This window comes from Homo sapiens, chromosome 13, assembly GCF_000001405.40.
Source record: "Homo sapiens chromosome 13, GRCh38.p14 Primary Assembly".
NCBI lineage: Eukaryota > Metazoa > Chordata > Mammalia > Primates > Hominidae > Homo > Homo sapiens.
In genome coordinates, this window is record NC_000013.11 from 60406611 (window position 1) to 60428279 (window position 21669).

The following is a 21669-nucleotide window of genomic DNA, read 5'->3' on the forward strand; positions in this document are numbered from 1 at the left end:
CTTTAAGGACCTGCTAGTTAGGGGAAAAAGCTTTAGAATGCATTATAAAGTCATTGAGTTTTCTAAGAACAGAAAATGGACATATCTTTTGGAGTTCTTTGATAAGACTATTTGATATGGTCACTGTTAGTTTATTGACTTGCTGATATTGGAGACTCAGAGCACCTTTTAAAACACTCTTTATAAATTTAGATATCTGAAAGTCTTTTAAAAAATTCCCCACAATCTTTCCCCAAATTCCTCTAAATATATAAAATACAAATAAAATTTAGCTGCAGCTTTTCAGAAGGCAGTCTGTCATGGATATTACATGAAGATGTTAAGAAAACAAAATTTTATTTTATTAAATTTCTAAGTGGGACCATGAAGAGTTTAAAAATTAATAAAGGTGGATTTTGTAAAATACCTAATGTGAAATAATAAATGTAAGTATTGATGGAAAAACTTGCTAAATAAATTAAGCCAGTATTTTATAATGAATTTGGAATTGACTCAGTTCAAGCTTTGTTTTGAGAGAGAAATAGGGACATATGTTAAGTTTAGGTGTCCATAACATTGATAGTTTGATTGATGCCTTATGACTTTGTAAGCTTCTGTAAGGGAAAGATCAAGTCTTCATATTTTTGTAGTATTCCAAGCATTTAGCACGATGTAAGGTGCACAGTAGACACTTAAATACTTGTGGAATGAATGTTACTCTCATCTTAGTTGGTCTTGGTATCATTCATCATTTTGCTTTTGTGTCCTCAAGGGACATGAAACTTCTTCAAGCTTTTTGTAGAGTAGAAAATTGTTATTTCTGAAATGAATGTTGTGAAATTTAAACAAAATGTTATGAAAAATGTGATCTCCTCAGAAATGCAGGAAATAGCCTGTTATAGAAAGCTTTCTCTATTTGTTGATATTTTCTACCTTGTTTATAGAATTCAACTGTTAAGAGATATAACTAGTGATAATGAAGATAATACACTTAAAGGTATATGTTTGTATTTAGTTAGAAGAAAAGTTTGAAATATGTTGATAACATTTCTTTGCCCGAGACAACCAGCTGTCTCTTTAGGGTCTTTGAAATGTTCTGTTTCAAGGTAATATTAGTAGAAACTGTTTTCAGAACTATTTCTTTCACATTTGATGTTTTATGAGATAGCAACAAATTCTTTTCTTTTTGATATTTCAGAATTGCTTACAGCTTAGCACTTCAGTGATATGGTGTGGCTGTGTTCCGACCCAAATCTCAACTTGAATTGTTTCTCCCAGAATTCCCATGTGTTGTGGGAGGGACCCAGCGGGAGGTAATTGAATCATGGGGGTCGGTCTTTCCCATGCTATTCTTGTGATAGTGAATACGTCTCGTGAGATCTGATGGGTTTTTCAGGGGTTTCCGCTTTTGTTTCTTCCTCATTTTCTCTTGCCGCCGCCATGTAAGAAGTGCCTTTCACGTCCCGCCATGATTCTGAGGCCTCCCCACCCGTGTGGAACTGTAAGCCCAAATAAGTCTCAGGAGGTCTGATGGGTTTATCAGGGGTTTCCACTTTTGTTTCTTCCTCATTTTCTCTTGCCAATGCCATGTAAAAAGTGCCTTTCACCTCCCGCCATGATTCTGAGGCCTCCCCAGCCATGTGGAACTGTAAGTCCAATTAAACCTCTTTTTCTTCCCAGTCCCAGGTATGTCTTTATCAGCAGCATGAAAAAGAACTAATATAGTAAATTAGTACCAGTAGAGTGGGGCATTGCTGAAAAGATACCCAAAAATGTGGAAGCAGCTTTAGAACTGGGTAACAGGCAGAGGTTGGAACAGTTTGGAGGGCTTAGAAGAAGACAGGAAAATGTGGGAAAGTTTGGAACTTCCTAGAGACTTGTTGAATAGCTTTGCCCAAAATGCTGATAGTGATATGGACAATAAGATCCAGGCTGAGGTGGTCTCAGGTGGAGATGAGGAACTTGTTGGGAACTGGGTGACTCTTGTTATGTTTTAGCAAGGAGACTGGCAACATTTTGCCCCTGCCCTAGAGATTTGTGGAACTTTGCACTTGAGAGAGATGATTTAAGGTATCTAGCAGAAGAAATTTCTAAGCAGCATAGCATTCAAAAGGTGACTTGGGTGCTGTTAAAAGCATTCTGTTTTAAAAGGGAAACAGAGCACAAAAGTTTGGAAAATTTGCAGCATGACTAAGTGATAGAAAAGAAAAACCCATTTTCTAGGGAGAAATTCAAGCCAGCTCCAGAAATTTGTGTAAGTAGCAAGGATCCTAATGTTAAACCCCAAGACCATGGAGAAAATGTCTCTCCAGGCCATGTCAGAGATCTTCACAGTAGCCCCTCTCATCACAGGCCTGGAGGTCCAGGAGGAAAAAGTGGCTTCGTGGGCTGGGCCCAGGGTCCCTGTGCTGTGTGCAGCCTAGGGACTTGGTGCCCTGTGTCCCAGCCACTCCAGCCTTGGCTGAAAGGGGCCAACATATAGCTTGGGCTGTGGCTTCAGAGGGTGGAAGCCACAAGCCTTGGCAGCTTCCATGTGGTGTTGAGCCTGTGGGGGCACAAAGTCAAGAATTCAGGTTTGAGAATCTCTACCTAGATTTCAGAGGATGTATGGAAATGCCTGGATGCCCAGGCAAAAGTTTGCTGCTGGGATAGAGCCCTCATGGAGAACCTCTGTTAGTGTAGTGCAGAAGGGAAATGTGGGGTTGGAGCCCCCACACAGAGTCCCTACTGGGGCACTGCCTAGTAGAGCTGTGAGAAGAAGGCCACTGTCCTCCAGACTTCAGAATGGTAGAGCCACTGACAGCTTGCACTGTGCACCTGGAAAAGCTGCAGACATTCAACACCAGCCTGTGAAAGCAGCTGGGAGGAAGGCTGTATCCTGTAAAGCCACAAGGGCAGAGCTGTCCAAGACCATGGAAACCCACCTCTTGCATCAGTGTGACCTGGATGTGAGACCTGGAGTCAAAAGAGATGATTTTGGAGCTTTAAAATTTGACTGTCCCACTAGATTTCAGACTTGCCTGGGCCCTGTAACCCCTTTGTTTTGGCCAACCTCACCCATTTGGAACAGCTGTATTTACCCAATACCTGTACCCTCATTGTCTCTAGGAAGTAACTAGCTTGCTTTTGATTGTACAGGCTCATAGGTGGAAGGGACTTGCCTTGTCTCAGATGAGACTTTGGACTGTGGACTTTGGGTTAATACTGAAATGAGTTAAGACTTTGGTGGACTGTTCGGAAGGCATGATTGGTTTTGAAATGTGAGGGCATGAGATTTGGAGGGGCCAGGGTTGGAATGATGTGGTTTGGCTGTGTCTCCACCAAAACCTCTACTTGAATTGTATCTCCCAGAATTCCCACGTGTTGTGGGAGGGACCCAGGGGGAGGTAATTGAATCATGGGGGCCAGTCTTTCCTGTGCTAGTCTCATGATAGTGAATAAGTCTCACAAGATCTGATGGGTTTATCAAGGGTTTCTGCTTTTGCTTCGTCCTCATTTTTCTCTTGCCATCGCCATGAAAGAAGTGCCTTTCACCTCCCACCATGATTCTGAGGCCTCCCCAGCCATGTGGAACTGTAAGTCCTGTTAAACCTCTTTTTCTTCCTAGTCTTGGGTATGCCTTTATCAGTAGCATGAAAATGGTCTAGTATATTCAGTTAGAAAGGAGTTAAGATGATGAAATTATATTTCATGCTAGGGCCTTTAATGAGGCAAAGAAGTAGGAATCTAGGTATCTTGCAGTCTAAGTTGTCATAGAGTTCAAGTCCACTGGGGTTTTACCTGAGGACTCTGCTAAACAGAGTTTACTCTTGTTATCTTGCAATTATGAGCACCAAAAAGGACGTGTATGTGTTACTGTTAGGACATAAAGCATGTAAAATGGGCTCCTCAGTATCCTTGCTCAGTTCACTGTACTCAGAATGGCAAGTACTGGCAACCCTTTGTGTCTGTGCTGAGAGTGCAAGTTGATATTCAGGGGCCTCTACTCCTAGGAATTGGCCACGATCTTTTCTCTAGGCTGCCTGCTGATTCCCTTAGTATGTTCTAATTTGAGTAATAATGAGATTTCTCAGGATCGTTTTGATTTGACTTCTTTCCTCAGTTTTGCTTCTTGGGGATGGATAGGGTAGGGTTAGTTCTCAGGCTACATGAGAATCTTCTTTGGTTGCTACATTTTGAAGTTGTGCAAGAGCTGGATGTACGTTTTCCCTTATTTTGGTTGTTGCTGATAAATTTTTTGACTGCCTTTTCTGGTTGTGGATTTTTTGCTTTGGTTTTATGTTTTTTCCCTGTTTAATTACTCATTCATCAAAAGTCTTTATAAACATATTAATTAGATGTTTCCCTAGTAAAGTTGATACATAATGAAAGTTTGTATATGCGTATATTAAAAACATAATGGCTGTACAGTACCATGAAATTTCAGTGACCATTTTTGTGCCTGTGTTTACATTGTTGTTAGTGCAAAGTGGCCACCCAAAATATTTAACTTTGTTAATAAACATATCTAGCTGCTCTTTGCAACACAGACACCTGCCATAGTACTCATTAAATTTTCTACTAGTTATAAAGACTTAGTTAGCTATGATAGTTCACAATTAAAAGACACTCTCATATAATTAGATGTAGTTTCTTAACAAATTGAGAGTTTAACAAGTTGAATTAAAAATTCATGAAGAAAAGAGTGCAGTGTAGTGGTATATACTTTTACAGTTACAGGGTAATGAGAATGGACTTAATACTTAAATAATACATGACAGAAATTATGGTGTGCCTACTGAAGTTTGATTATCTTGAAAGTTCAACAGAGCCTTGACATTTTTACTAGTTTCTACTTATGTGAATAAGCATTTATTTTGATATTATTTTAAGCAAAATGCAAAAGCAGATTAAATACGAAACTGGCCTGAGCTACATTTTTCCAATGCTTAAAAAAAATGCCCTGCCTTAATTAGGTTGAAGGCTAGGCTGATGTAAGAGAAGCCTGGAGAACATAGGTTTTTTTTGGTTTTTCTTTTTTTTTGGTCACAAAACAACCCAAAATAGTTAGACAGTTCTGCTTTGTGCTGTCATTTAAGGACCCAGGTTCCTTTCATCTTATTGCTTTGATGTCCCCTCACCCCTTGCTACTCCAAGTGTGGTCCACAGGCCAGCAGCATTGATATCACCTGGTAGCTTGTTAGAAGTGTAGAATCTCAAACCTCACCAGCATCTTAATTTTAGTAAGATTCTTATTAAAGAATCTTATTGCACATTAAAGTGATTCTTTTGCACATTAAGGTTTGAGGAGCAGCACTTTAGGGTATTGTCATTGTCTTCATGGTCATAGCAGAGTAGCTGACAAATTTGGGTTTCCCTAGCTGGAATGGGAAGAACAGCAGAGAGCCATAGAGTCAGTTCCCTGAGGAAGAGAGACATCGTATCCTTGGTTTCTAAGAACTTTAATCTGACATCTACCTGAAAGGGATTCTGAGAACTGTGGCCTAGCTCAGTGACTCTCAAACAAACAACTAGTTAAATCTTATAAACTGTAAAACCTTGTGGTAGTGTGAGATTGCTCCAAAAGTTTCTGTACATATCCAATCATGTGACAGTAACAGAGTTTGTGGATTGGCATTAATCCATGAACCACACTTGAAGTAGGTCATATTTGACATATTTGAATTTTTCATTCAGTGATATTGTTCAGCTTACGGTAAATTTGAGTGAATTGGTGTGAGTAAATGAGGCTCTATTTTTTTGGCCTTTGATACTTTTTGATTTAGTTTACTTAATATTCTTCTACTTTTTAAAAAATAGTGATATCACTTATTTTTAGTGATAATCTTACGTTTGTAAGGACTTTTCAGCTTGAAAAGCCCTTTTCCCTACATTATATGGCATTCTATAATAGTAGGTAGTATGGACTGTATTTGCTTATAAAAAGGGATTACAAGCCTTGTTGGTTTAATCATGCTGATAACTAGTATGACACATCAAGAAATGGATGCTTTTTTAATGAAATGATGCCTTCTTTTTATGTATTTTGTAACTTTCTTATACTTTTAGTTATTAATTAGTATTTGTTTTGAATTGGTGTTATGAAACTTATCTGGGCCATTATATTGGCCAACTGCTTGATTTTTTTTGTTATTATTCTTGCCTTGACATGTTTTCATGGAAAATAAAATTGAATTGGACTGTTAGTGGTCTTTTAAAATGGTTTACCTTATCGCAGTAGCTTTCATTTCATGTGTAAATTAAATTGCTTATCATTATTCTTAAACATTTGCTTAAAGTAATGCTTTAAGCAAAAGTATATGTAAAATATGATTATAGATCTCTACATATCTAAGATGCGTACTTTAAAAGTTGAAATACAGGCTCATGTTTGACTGAATGTTTTTGTTATTTTCAACTTGCTTTTTGCTGTTACGGCCTGCCTGGTATTCCCTGCAGTATCCCTGTACTCCCAATTTTTTTTTTTTTTGCCTAAGTACCCAATATATATGAACTAATAGGTCAACAGGAAGTTAGCATGTGAAAATGCTGCCAAGGAATGGGCCCAAAAGCTTGAATCACTTTGTGTTTGAAACTGAGATGTGTAAATTAAATGATTTTGAATAAACATTTATATTAGAATTAGTTAATTATAATTAATTAGAATTTCATCACAAAACTGAATTATTGTGAGAGATTACTGAGGAAAAAAATAGTTACAAAAACACTGCCATGTACCTTTTATATTCAGTTAGATATATATCTGCTTGAGAAGCTGTATGGCTGGTGTTTACGAGCATGGGCTCTTGAAGACCAATTCTCCTGAGCTGAGATCAGTCCTGGTTCTGCCACAGATTAGCTATAACCTTGGGCACATTTCTTAACTGCTCATGTCTCAGTTTGCTTATCTATAAAATGGTGTCAATATTATACCTACTTCATAGTATTGTTAGGAGGATTAATAAGTTAATACACACAAAGTGCTTAGAATACTGCTTGGCATATGCTGAATGCCCAGTAAATACTTAATGTTCTTGCTGTTGTATGTCAAGACTGGACTCACTTAAATTAGTGTTGTCAGTTAAATACATTCATGTTACTTGCACACATGAATTTCTGATCTTGTGTCACCTTTGGAAAAAGTTGATGCCCTTTACTCTATTTTAGATTACCTTATATAGCCTGTGAGAGTGTTACTTCAATAAAGATAAAATCTTTATATCTTATGGATTTTTAATCTCAAATATATATATCATACCATTAGCATTTTATAATCTTATAAATATTAGTGTCTCAAATTAAAGATAAAAGGTACAGGTAGAATATTTCACATAATATTACATTATTTCACTTGTACAGGAAGAATAGAAATTTGAGAGAGGAAACTGTCAATATTCAGTCTCTTAATATGGACATGAACTTAAGTCTCAGCTGAAGGGAGGTATTTTCATATTCTTGTTGAAATGTTGCATTGTTATTAAGTATTTGCCTTATATTTTTATAAATAAGGATTTCACTTAAAGAATAATGTGTTGCCCTCCTCAAAAATTAAATGTGTGGAACCAGTTGTGCAATATGTAAATTTGTGAGACAATGTACGTTTTTTTTTAAGTCCAGATACATTTTTTTTGAGAGAAGGACATGTCTATTACATCTAGTTTTTGAAGAAAGAAAGATTATATAGCTTTATCCTAAGGAGTTGGCAGACTATGACCAGTGGGCCAAATCTGGCCTGCTACCAGTTTTTGTAAATAACATTTTAGTAGAACACAGCCAGAACCACTCATACACCTACTGTCTGTAGCTGCTTTTGTGCTACAGGAGCAAAGAGTAGTTGTGACAGAAATCAAATATTGTAGGAAAGCCTGCAATATTTACTATCTGGTTCTTTACAGGAAAAGTTAGCCAATCTCTGCCCTAAGTAATTAGTAAAATAGATATATTAATTCTTTATTACTTAGAAAAAACTGAAGTTGGAACAAGTAGTATATGCTATTGGTACCAGAATTTGTCAAAAATAACTTGCCAAGAAAACCACAATCCTTGTTCTTATCCTTATTTGTAGTGACTAGTATGAATAGGGCTGCCTCATAAATTAGTAAATCCTAACTATTTGATAGGAATGTGTCAGTACTTGCAGTGGGGGCTTTTTGTCAAATACAGAGTTATCAGGTGTTTTGAAATGGTCTACTAATTTTAATAGAACTTTCCATTATATCCTAGGGCAGATAGAAATCCTTCATTGGTTTCAATTGAGCATTCCTATCACACTTGGACAACTTTTGGATTCTGTAGAATACCTAGACAACAGACAGTGGTTTTTTTTTTCTGTTTTTGTTTTTAAAAAATAAAATCAGTACTGCTTAAACAGAGGGAAAAGGGTGAATATGAGGTTGAAAAACCTGTTAAAACACATCAGTCTTGAGTAAAATATAGGAGGAGTTTGTTCTTAGATATCAAAATATATTTGGTAGCCAATCATATTTAAATTAAACTGATTGGTCATCAGCATACTGATTATTTTATATAAGAAATTGAACTTATGAAAAAAAAATTCATGTGTTGATTTGACCAAGATTGATGTTTTATAACAGTGTTTAGGGAACTAGGCATGAAGGGCCTAATGAGATCCTGTTTTACAATATTCATTGCCATTCTCATTCATATTTTTCCTTTTTAGATTTGTGTTCTGAAACTTTGAGAATTACCAATTCCACTCTGTGGACATTCATATCAACCGGGATCCAGTGCACAATTTTCATTTTTGATGTTATTCTGATTATATTATTATTTTATTATCAGATTATATTATTCTGATTACATTACTATTTCATCAGAATCTTTACGCTTCAGCCAACCACTTGGGTGTATCAGGACTATAATTAACATATTGGTAATAAGCAAACATACTCATTTAACAAATGTAAGCAATAATAGGCAAATGCCATTATTGGGAAAACTAGGCCCTCAATGTTAGCTAACTAAACAGACCAATGCAATCTTTATAACTCATTCACACACTTAAAGAATATGAGAATTTTGAAGAGTACATTAATTTTTCTGTAAAACATGATTAATATCAAATTGTAAGATGTATGCAAATAAAATTGCTTTCTTTTCTCAAATGGGCAAGCTTTGTACAGATGCCTTGATGGATCTTCCGGGAACTACCATGTCCAGAGATTTATTGAGTTTTAAATAAGAGCCATGAAAAGATCAGATTTGCCAAGTTTACAAAGATAGTTCTGGCCTTTATTTCAAGGATAGGTGAAGAGATCAAGGCTCAAGCAAAGACAATTTACGGAAAAACATTCTTTAGAGACAAACTTCATCAATATATCTTTTTCTTAAGGAAAAGTGAAGAAAGGGAGAACTCTGGTTGGCCGTCAGTGTCCTTGACTTGTCTCCTTCCCCTATTTAAAAATAGAATCAGTTAATAATGTTTATTAGTGTTAATGTTGGACATTTTAAAATACCCTTTGCTTAAGAATTAATAACTTTGTTGGATGGCTCAAAAATTGTGTTTTGGAAGTTGATAAGGTATTGATTTTAGATTTAACATGGTACAATATCAAATCATGGCAAAAATGATCCACTTTATGATTTCACTGACTCTTTTCAATAATTAAGGTTTCTCTAAGTGTAAAGTGTAAAGATTTTTAGAGGAAGATGTGGAAGTACTCATAATATAGTTCTTAGTCTAAATTTCTAATGAGATTTTTTTTTTAACTAAGGAAGTTTTAAGAACAGATTTACAAAACAGTGATTATTGAAAGATGGTGATACTTGCTCTTACCTTTCCCATGATCAGTTGAGCTGATATGGTCAACTACTAATTCCATTCTTAGTGCTATTTCCAAAGCAGTATGTGAATGAAGCTGTATTTAAAACATTCATTTACCAAGTAGATATTTATTAAGCAAGACTTTTTTCTCCAAAATCTGAGTTTCCTTTTTTAAGAAAATATTTTACGAATGCCTTTTCTTGTTGTTGTAATGTTTAGCACATGTATGACTGTGTTCATGTGCACATTTGTTTGCATTAGTCTTACTTATAGCTACTGTTTCTTTGGGCTGTCTGCTACAGTCTGGCTTGTGCTTCTTCCACACTGCTGAAATGCTTTTGCTAAAGTACCAGTGACCTTCCAGTTGTGAGATATCTTTCAAATTTTTCCTTACTGGCTCTGTTACTTTGGACGGTTTATGTCTATCTTGGAATTCACTGTTAAGACATAGTGTCTTAAAATTCACTATTCCTTGTCTCCCCTAACACTGTTCTCCTCATCTTGTTCTTGTTCTCTTCATTCCTTTCTCATCATTCGTTGTCTTTTTATGATATTCTTATCATACCTTTCCCTGGCTTTTCTTAGTTTCCTTATTGGTACTAACAAAGTTCTATCTTTGGTCCACTTTCTTGTTCTTCTGACTTTAACTGATCAGTCTCTCTCTCTCTTTTTTTTTTTTTTTGAGTCCAGGTCTTATTCTGCTGCCCAGGCTGGAGTACAGTGGCATAATCATAGCTCACTGCAGCCTCAATCTCCTTGGGTCAAGTGATAAACCCACCTCAGCCTCCCAAGTAGCTAGGACTACAGGCACACACCACCCCACATGGCCAATTTTTTATTTTAGTAGAGATGGGCTCTTGCTATGTTGTCCAGGCTGGTCTGAAACTCCTGGCCTCAAAGGGCTTCTCCTGCCTCAGCCTCCCAAAGTGCTCGGATTACAGGTGTGAGCCATTGTACTTGACCCAGTCTCATTTGCTTTCATGATTTAAACTAATTTCATTTTTTTTTTTTTTTTTGAGATGGAGTCTCACTCTGTTGCCCAGGCTGGAGGCTATCCCAGCTCACTGCAACCTTTGCCTCCTGGATTCAAGTGATTCTCTTGCCTCAGCCTCCTGAGTAGCTGGGATTACAGGCTCCTGCCACCATGCCCAGCTAATTTTTGTATGTTTAGTAGAGATGGAGTTTCACCATGTTGGCCAGGCTAATCTTGAACTCCTGACTTCAGGTGATCCACCTGCCTCGGCCTCCCAAAGTGTTGGGATTACAGGTGTGAGCCGCCACACTGGCCGATTTAAACTAATTTCTATATACTGATGATTCCTAAATCTTTCTGGGCCTGAACTTCAAAATACAGCCTTATATATGAAATACTCTGCACAATTCGAACTAGGTATCCCAGGGGCACCTCGAACTCCTCATGCCTTTCACTGTACTTCTCTTCCCCTCCATCTCCCAAGTTCTTCTTCTCTTTACACTCTTGTTTTAGAGGTGGTACACTCATCTCACCATTCATGAGTCATTTTTTTCTTTTTCCTATTCACTCATATCTAAATTAAGAATCAGACCTGCCAATTTTACCTTCTAAATATTTTTCTACTTCAGGCCTTTATTCTTGAGAGTAGCCTCCTGATTGGTCTTCTTGCTTACTGTCTCAAATCTGTCTTTTCTATAGGTGTTAGAATGAGTTATCTATAAAGGTTGTCTAATCTTTAGATCTTTTGTCACCTACAGGATGAAGTCTGTCTTACAAAGGTATGCATAGCCTCTTGTTTCTTTGTGGCATCCATTTTTGCTCCTACCTCTCCAGCAGTTTATGCTCTAACAAGACCAACTTGCTTGTGGGTCTCTTATGTACATGGTATTTTATGTCCTGCCACTGTACCATTTCTGATCTTGTCCTTTCTGCTTGGATTTTTTTCTCCATTTAAGTTAGTTAATTATTGTCCATCATTTTAAAACATAACTGTCATCTGTTATAAGAAGTCTTCCCTGATAGAAAGTAGGTACCCTTCTTCTGAGGTCCTTTAACATTCTGTCTCTAGCTCATTGTGCTATAATTGTTTATATGTTTGTCTCCTCAAGTAAACCAAGCTTCACTGGGACTAAACTTATTTGAGGTCAGTACCATGGTTTTTTCATCTTTGAATTCTTGGGACTAGTACAGTGTCTGCCACAGAGTAGATAGAGACTCAACAAATGTTTATTGAATAAATAAACTGAATGGACTTGTCTTTTTAAATTGCAGCACAATTAATGTACATTAAAATGCACAGCTCTTAAGTGTTTAGCATGATAGGTTTTGATAGTTGTGTACGTTTAAGTAACCCCCATTCTAAATGTTATATAGAATGTTTTCATCACCCAAGAAAGTTTTCTCCTGCTCTGTTCCTTCTGTGCCCACAGATAGTCTTTTTCTGACATCTGGCATCATGAATTCACTATCTTGTAATTGGATATTATAAAAATGGAAACCTTATTTCTTCTGACATCTTAGAAGTATAATGCTTTTGAGATTCATTCATATTCTTGTCTGTATTGGTAGTTCATTTTTTATTGTTGAGTAGTAGTTCCTGTTTGAGTATACCATAATTTGTTTGGTCATTCTCCTTTTGATAGACAATAACCAGTTTTTGGTTATTATGAATAAGGCTTGGAGCATTCATTTATAAGTATTTTTTGTGGACATATGTTTTCATTTCTCTTAGAGGATATCTAGGAGTGAAATTGCTGGGCCATAGGGCACATTTTTGTTTAACTTTATAGGAAACAGCCAAACGTTTATTTCCAAAGTGGGTGTGACATTTTATACTCCAACCAACAGTGTATGAGAGATCTGGTTTCTCCACTTCCTCACCAATATTCTATTTTCAGTCCTTTTGATTTTAGCCGTTCATCTGGTGTGAAATGGTATCTCATTGTGGTTTTAATGTGTATTTTCTTGATGGCTAAAGATGTTGAGTACTTTTTAATGTGACTATTAGCTCTTCATAAAGTATCTATTTGAGTCTTTTGTCCGTTAAGAATTTGGATTGTTGTACCTATCACTGATAGCCTAAAGAAAATATGGAACATATACACCATGGAATACTATGCAGCCATAAAAAAGAATGAGTTCATGTCCTTTGCAGGGACATGGATGCAGCTGGAAACCATCATTCTCAGCAAACTAACATAGGAACAGAAAAACCAAACACCATGTGTTCTCACTCATAGGTGGGAGTTGAACAGTGAGAACACATGGACACAGAGAGGGGAACATCACACACTGAGGCCTGTTGTGGGGGCGGGGGGCAAAGGGAGGGAGAACATTAGGACAAATACCTAATGCATGTGGGGCTTAAAACCTAGATGATGGGTTGATAGATGCAGCAAACCACCATGGCACATGTATACCTATGTAACAAACCTGCACATTCTGCACATGTATCCCAGAACTTAAAGTAAAATAAAAAAAAAAGAATAGATGGATGAAAGCAGAAAGGAAGAAAAGGAATAATCTAAAGTAAATATGGTAAAATGCTAATATTTTAAAAATCTAGGTGGTGTGAGCAGGAATTTTTAAAAATTATTTTTAATGTTTTTCCTATAAGTAAAAATATTTCATATTAGAAGACAAAAAGAGATGAAAAGGTATTTTCATCTCTCTTATAATTATTGTGGTTATGTGTTTTATATGTAATACATCATGTAATGATAGATATACTAGATTATTAATATTACAAATATAGACTTAGAAGATAGATATCATTTACATCAAGTTAATCAGTGTATAAGAAGTATGATTTTTTCTACTTGTAATTATTTCCATAAAGGTTAATGTTTTTTACCTAACAACAACAACAACAAAAAGAAATTGGATTGTTGGACTTCTTAATGTTGATTTGTAGGAGTTGATTATATGTTCTAGATATGAGTCTTAAAATACATATGCTATGAATGTTTTTTACAATCTGTGGCCTTTTTACTTTATTAATGATATTTTTTGATGACTAAATATTTTTAATTTTGGTCAAGATCAATTTTATCAGTTTTTTTTTTCTTTTATAATGAGGGCTTTTTATGTCCTGTTCAAGAATTGTTGCCTACTTCAAGTTTGTGAAGGTACTTTCTTATGCTTGCTTCCAGAAGCTGTATGATATGGGTTTTATATTTAAGTATATGATCAAATTATGTTGGTTTGTGGAGTGGGAAAGAAGCATGGTATTATTTTTATTTTTATACAGATATTCAGGTATTTCAGTGACATTTGTAAAAAAAAATTTTCTTTATTGGATTGACTTGGCATTTTGATTGAAAATCTGTTGACCAGGCTGGGCGTGGTGGCTGATGCCTGTAATCCCAGTGCTTTGGGAGGCCGAGGCGGGTGGATCATGAGGTCAGGAGATCAAGACCATCCTGGCTAACATGGTGAAACCCCGTCTCTACTAAAAATACAAAAAAAATTAGCCGGGCGTGATGGCGGGCGCCTGTAGTCCCAGCTACTCGGGAGGCTGAGGCAGGAAAATGGCATGAACCCAGGAGGCGGAGCTTGCAGTGAGCCGAGATCACGTCACTGTGCTCCAACCTAGGTGACAGACTGAGACTCCGTCTCAAAAAAAAAGAAAATCTGTTGACCGTATTTTGTGGGTCTATATTGTTTTATTATTCTATTTGACTGTCCTCATGCCAATATCACACTGTCTGGATTAATGAAGCTTTATGATAAGTACTGATAACAATTAGTGTGAGCCCTCATCTTTTCTTTCAGGTTAATTTGGGAATTCTTGAGCATTTGCGTTTCCATATTGTATTAGTTCATTTTCATACTGCTGTGAAGAAATACCCGAGACTGGGTAATTAATAAAAAAAAAGAGGTTTAATGGACTCACAGTTCCATATGGCTCAGGAGGCCCCACAATCTTGGCAGAAGACGAAGGAGGAGCAAAGGCACATCCTACATGGTGGCAGGCAGCAGAGCATGTGCACAGGAACTGCCCTTTATAAAACAATCGGATCTCATGAGGCTTACTTACTATCACGAGAATAGCATAGGAAAAACTTGCCTTCTTGATTCAATTACTTCCCACTGGGTCCCTCCTGTGACACATGGGGATTATGGGAGCTACAATTCGAGATGAGATTTGGGTGGGGACACAGCCAAACCATATCACATACGAATTTTAACATCAGTTTGTCTATTTGCTGAAGAAAATCCTACTAGGACTTATGATAACTAGAAAATGGTGGCAGTGTAGTAAATAACTTCCCAAAATCTTTCCCCCAAACTATACGGATGACTTCACACCTAAGCAAAATCTGTGTAAAACAATGCTCTCAACCTTATGTGAGCACAGAGAATGTGGAAACTATCAAAGACCTGTGAGTAAAAAGAAAAAGTTAAAAGCCAGCCCCATGGTTCCACACACTCCTGTGCCAATCTTGTCCCACTTGTGGGGCTTTGGTGATCCAAGGCAGACCTCGAAAAAAACTACAGAAAAGCAGAGGAGAGATGCAAATGAAATGACTGGAGGGTGGTAGGAATGACCACCAGAAAGATCAAATCCACCCTAAATGTGAAAAATAAAGAAATTTGGCTTATTAGGAAGATATTTCAAAGTAAGGACAGGTGCCAAGTAAAGGGCCAGAAAGAAACAGATGAAAAACAGTGGGTCAGGCATGTAACTTAAAATAGACACATGCCATATAAAGGAATTGGTGTGTGAATTAAAGGGATAGATTCTATTTAAATGGGTAAGTCTGATTTCAAAGAATAGGTACGATTTAAAGGGTTCAATTTTTGAAATGCATAGCTTCTGGGGGAGAAAGAAACAAAAAGGAGGGAAGGCGTTTCCTTTGGCAATTGGATAATGAAGAGGAAAAGAAGGAAAAGGGAAAAATTAAGGCCCTGTGAGACAAAATAGAACTACACAGGTGGAGGATTCATAATATGCCCCCTAATGAAACCAACCACTTCATTAAAGTATATAGCATGGATTGACTGGTAGGAAAGGGTGACATTGGACTAGAAATATTGTAAAACAGCCCAATGTCACAAAAATGAACAAAATATTTCTAAATCAGGAAACAAATTTGCACGCAAACCTAGGAAAATTCTTTTTCCCCAAAACAACCGTGAACTATAACTCTAAGTTCATACTCCAACAGAATTAAATTTACTCCAACGAGCATTTGGAAGTATGAAAAATCACTTGAGTCAGAAATTAAAAAACTAAAGACAGAAGTGGACAATAAACAGGGACAAATGGGGGAAAATGTTGATGGAGCTTTGGAAAGAAATGGAAGAAAATATCAGAATTATTTTAGAAATAAAGAATATATTACAAGATACCCAAGGGAAAATGGACTAGAATGAAAAATTGATAAGGAGCATTGAAGAAAGAAAAACAACTATGAGAATTTAAATAAGAAATGTCAGAGAGAAAGTAGTCGAATATTATTCCTTTGGAATAATATTCAAGTCAAGGAAGGAATAATATTTGTTTTATTTGAGTCCCTAAGGGGAAAAAACCAAAACAATTGAAAAGAGCTGATATCTAAAACTATAATTCAAGAAAACTTTCCAGATGGAAAAAGATGTAAATCCACACATTGAAAGTATGTCAAGTGCAATGAAAGATTAATCCACAGCAATTAACTCCAAGACATATCCCAGTTAAAAATTATCAGATTATTAAGATAATAAAATCCTTAGGACCGACATGAAACAAGTCAAATAAAAGCAAAAGAATTATAGTAGCATCAAGCTTTTCAAAACCAATATATAAAGCAAGGCAGAAATAGAGCAGCATTCAAAGAAAAGTCAGTGGAAGTATGAATTTGGGATTTTATATCTAGCCAAGCTGCTTTTTAAATATTAAGGCCATATAAAAATAGTTTTCATCATACCAGAACTTTTATGCATCAAGAGATAGAGCAACTGGCTTTCTGAAACAGAAACTTCAGGAGTTTGCAGGGACACATACATAGAAACATACCAGTAACAGGATACTTCGTTATACTGCTTTCATTACTAGTAATGATAGATTTAAGTGGACAAAATATAAGGAGGTAGAAGATGTAAACAATATAGCCAATAAGGTTGATCTTCTGGGTATACTGTATATTGAATGCTATACCTCGATAAGAGAAAATACTCATTTTCTTAAGTGCCTATGGCACATTCACAAAAACTGATTATATATTATGTCATAAGGAAAACATTAATAACTTCCATAAAGTAGAACTATTATAAACACTCTGATTACAGTGGACTAAAACTAGGATTTACTAACAAAACCAAATACAAGCCCTTTCACCTAGAAATTAAAAAGTTTGACTAAACAACTTTTTAAAAAGTATTTTAAAAAATTGTAAAAGGAGAAATACAATTAAGTGTATTTAATTGTAAAAAAATGTAATGACAGTGACACTTTATATCATAATTTATGTGGTATATTTAAAGCAGTGATTAGAGGAAAATTTATTTTACTGCTTTTATTAATAAAATGAATAAATGAACTAAATTTTCAGCGAAACTAAAAAAGATCAAGGTAAGTCAAAAGAAAGGAAGAAAAATAATAACTATAAAAGCAGAAATTGATGAGCAAAAGAATAGAAAAACAGTAAATCTAGCAAATAAGCCAAAATCCTGATGTTTTCTCTCCCTGGCCATGCAGTGGTTTTTTTTGTTTGTTTGTTTTTGTTTTTTGAGATGGAGTCTTACTCTGTCGCCCAGGCTGGAGTGCAGTGGCGCCATCTTGGCTCACTGCAAGCTCCGCCTCCCGGGTTCACGCCATTCTCCTGTCTTAGCCTCCCGAGTAGCTGGGACTACAGGCGCCCGCCACCATGCCCGGCTAATTTTTTGTATTTTTGGTGGAGACGGGGTTTCACTGTGTTAGCCAGGATGGTCTGGATCTCCTGACCTCGTGATCCACCCACCTCGGCCTCCCAAAGCGCTGGAATTACAGGCGTGAGCCACCGCCCCCAGACAGTGGTTTTTAAAAAACAACTTTATTGAGTTATAAATCACAGAAAAAAATTCACCTCTTTAAAGTGTACAGTTCTGGCTGGGCGCAGTGGCTCACGCGTGTAATCCCAGCACTTTGGGAGGCTGAGGTTGGCGGATCACTTGAGGGAGGAGTTCGAGACCAGCCTGGCCAACATGGCAAAACCCCTTCTCTACTAAAAATACAAAAATTATCTGGGCATAGTGGGATGCTCCTGTAGTCCCAGCTACTCCGAAGGCTGAGGCAGGAGAATTGCTTGAACCCAGGAGGCAGAGGTTGCAGTGAGCAGAGATTGTGCCACTGTACCCCAGCCTGCGCAACAGAAGGCAACTCTGTCTGAAAAAATAAATAAAAATAAAGCATATCATTCAGTAGCTTTTCGTATATTCACAGAGATTTGTAATCATCACTACTATCTAATTCAAGAACATTTAACCCGATATGCATTGGCATCATTCCCCTTTCCTCCTAGACCCTGGCAACTTCTCATCTGCTTTCTGTCTCTATGGATTTTTTTATATGACGTTTCATATAAGTGGAATCATACAGATTGTGGCTTTTAATGTTTGGCCTCTTTCATTTAGCATAACATTTTTATGGTTCATTCATGTTGCTGCATGTATCATTCCTTCACTTATTTTTATGACAATAATATTACAATGTGTGGAAATAACACATTTTGTTTATATTCATTTATCGGATGAACAGTCTTGGTGTTTTTGAAAAAGTTAACAAAATAGACAAACCATTAGCTAACTTATTCAAGGAAAAAATGCATAACTATGTAAAATAAGAAATAACAAAGAGAAGTCATCTTTGAAACAGAATACATTAAAAATAATTTGATTAAAAAATGGGCAAACGATCTGAATAAACTTTTCCCCAAAGAAGACATAAAAATGTCTAAGAGGTGTATGAAAAGGTGCTCAAGATCACGAATGATCAGGGACATGCAAATTGAAACCACTATGATGTATCACCTCACACCTATAAGGATGGCTATTATCAAAAAAGATACAAGATAACAAATGTTGGCAGGGGTGTGGAGAAACACCCTAGTACACCGTTGATGGGAATGTAGATGGGTACAGCCCTTGTGGAAAACAGTATGGAAACTCCTAAAGAAATTAAAAATAGAACTACAGTATGACCTAGCAATCCCTATTCTGAGTATATATCCAAAGAAGATGAAATCACTACCTCATAAAGATATTTGCACTTCCAAGTTTATTGCAGCAGTAGTCACAGTAGCCAAGCTATGGAAACAATCTAATGTCCATCGATGGAAAAATGAATAAAGAAAATGTGGTATATACAGTTGATCTTGAACAGTACGGATTTGAACTGTGTGAGTTCACTTATACGTGGATTTTCTTTGATTTCTACCATGCCACCACTGAGACAGCAAGACCAACCCCTCCTCTTCTTCCTCCTCCTCAGCCTACTCAACATGAAGACAATGAGGATGAAGACCTTAATGATGGTCTCTTTCCACATAATGAACAGTAAATATGTTTTCCATATGGTTTTTGTAACATTTTCTTTTTATTGTAGGAATATAGTACATTATACATATACAAAATATGTATTAATTGACTATGTTATTGGTAAGGCTTCTGGTCAGCAGTGGGCTATTAGTAGTTAAGTTTTTAGGGAGTCAGAATTTATACTCAGATTTTCAACTGTGCAGGGGTTGGTGCTGCTAACACCCGAGTTCAAGGGTGACTTGTATTTACAATGGGATATAATTGAGCCTTTAAAAAGAAGGAGATCCTGCCGTTTCTCACCCATGAATGGACCTATAGGATGTTATGCTAAGTGAAAAAAGCCAGACACAGAAAGAAAAGTATTATGTGATCTTACTTATATGTGCAATATTATAAACCAAAAAAGAGCTCAAATATAGAAATAGAGAATGAAACAGTGGTTACCACAGGCAGTGGGGAGGGCAGAGGAAATGGGGAGATGTGGGTCCAAGGACAAAAAATAGATCTGTAGGATGAACAAGTTGAGAGATGTACAACATGAGGACTAAAGTTATTAAAATTAGAGATTTTTATTAAATAAGTAGATATTAGCTGCCCTTGTCACACACAAAAAGTAACTGTGAGATGATAGATATGTTAATAAGCTTCACTATGGTAACTATTTTACTATCTATATGTATCCTGTAACATCATGTTGTAAACCTTGAATATACACAATAAAAATTTTTTTAAATGTCATGAGACACTTTGCAAATAATTCTAAAAACCTATATGAAATGGGTAGTTTTCTAGGAAAGTACAGATGACCAAAGTTGCCCCCATTAGAGTTAGAAAGCTTAAGCAGACCAATGTTATAGAAGAAATAGAGAAAATTAAGGAGAGATTACTCCATAAAAGCACCAAGGGACAAATGGTTTCACAGAGGAATTCTATAAAACCTTCACATACCATATACTGTCATTCATCACTTTATGGGGTATGTTCTAGAAATGTGTTCTCAAGCAACTTTGTCACTGTGGGAACGTCACAGAGTGTTCTTACACAAACCTTAATGGTATTGCCGACTACGCGCATAGGCTATATGGCATAGCCTGTTGCTCCTAGGCTACCAACCTGTACAGCATGTTATCGTACTGAATACTGTGGGCAATTGTAACACAATTTAGTATTGTGTACGTATTTATGTATTTAAACATATTTGTATATTAAAAAATATGTAAACATAGAAAAGATACAGTAAAAATACAGTATTTTAATCTTAGAGGACCACAGTCATATATGTATCTGTCATTGACCAAAATGTTATGTGGAGTGTGACTGTATTGAAAACTTTTTTTTCTTAAGAGCAAATAGCTGTAATATCCACTTTAAATCTTTATTATTTTCAGCATCAGGTTCATCTTGGCATCAGACAGATTTGATTGATTTTGTTTTTTCTTCAGAATGTGTTCCATTTTTTCGTTCTTTGTATGTTGGGTAATTTTGGATTTTGTAGTGCATATTAATAGTGTTAAATTGTAAAGATTTTTGTTCTGTTTTACACTGATGAATATTGTTTCCTGTGTTATTAAAGGTACTTTTTTTTTGTGGGGAGGCTGGGTTTGAACTGCAGTTTCGTTTCTAATGCAGCAGCTCCATCCTCTTTTCAAATCTTTTGTCTTCAGCTGGGATGTTTGGAGTCGGCTTCGCACGTGTCATTTGGAGGTCAGTCAGGTGTAGGTAGACAGAGTTTGGTGATCCCCTCTCTACGTCTTTCCTTTGACTGATCTCTCCACACTGTTCAGTGCTCCTGGTTTACCCACTATCCTTTTCTGTATAATAAGAAGGGCCACTGACACTCTGTGTAATTTGTATTTTCTTATTTATAGACTTAAGCTAACCAATAAGGTTCACTGAAAGTATTCATTCAGGAAGAGATAATGAATCAAGGCATTTTAAGTTGAATAGAAAATGTCCTTCTAGATTCTAAGCTAAGGGATGGATGGCCTTTCAAAATAATGTTTTTTATTTAATTAAATCAATACTTCTCAAGTAATTACTGGAATTTGTAATGGGTATATTTATTTCCTGTGGCTGCGGTAGCAAATTACCACAAGCTGGGTGGCTTAAAACAATTGAAATTTATTCACTTAACAGTTCTGGAGATCAGAAGTCTGAAATCAAAATGTCTTTGGAGCTGTTCTCCCTGCAGAGGCTTTAGGGGAGAATCAGTAACTTACCCCTTACAGCTTCTGTGGTTGCTGACATTCCTTGGCTTGAGGCATCATCAGTCCAGTTTCTGCCTCCAGCTTCATATGGCCTTTTACTTTTCTGTGTGTCACTTTACTCTGTGTGTTTATTTTTAAACTCCCTCTGCCTCTCTCCTATAAAAACACTTGTCATTGGATTTAGGACCTGCCTGGATTATCTAGTATGATTTTCTTATTTCAAAGTTCTTAATTTAATTACTTCTGTA

At 36.4% G+C, this 21669-nt stretch overlaps 1 protein-coding gene across 14 annotated transcripts in view; it reads left to right on the plus strand.

The window, feature by feature from the left end:
- The window catches only part of TDRD3 (tudor domain containing 3), a 178347-nt gene that overhangs the window by 11078 nt on the left and 145600 nt on the right, over positions 1 to 21669 (plus strand). For 4 of the 14 annotated variants that reach the window (XM_047430681.1, XM_024449416.2, XM_047430683.1 and 1 more), the window contains exon 1: positions 3471 to 19232. The exons of 9 other annotated variants lie outside the window; for them this stretch is intronic. In XM_047430681.1, coding sequence (XP_047286637.1) covers positions 19000 to 19232 — 233 coding nt within the window. In that variant the 5' untranslated portion in view covers positions 3471 to 18999. Of the gene's footprint in view, positions 1 to 3470; positions 19233 to 20461; positions 20919 to 21669 lie in introns of those variants that run through there. One more of the 14 variants, XM_047430684.1, reaches the window with a different exon arrangement.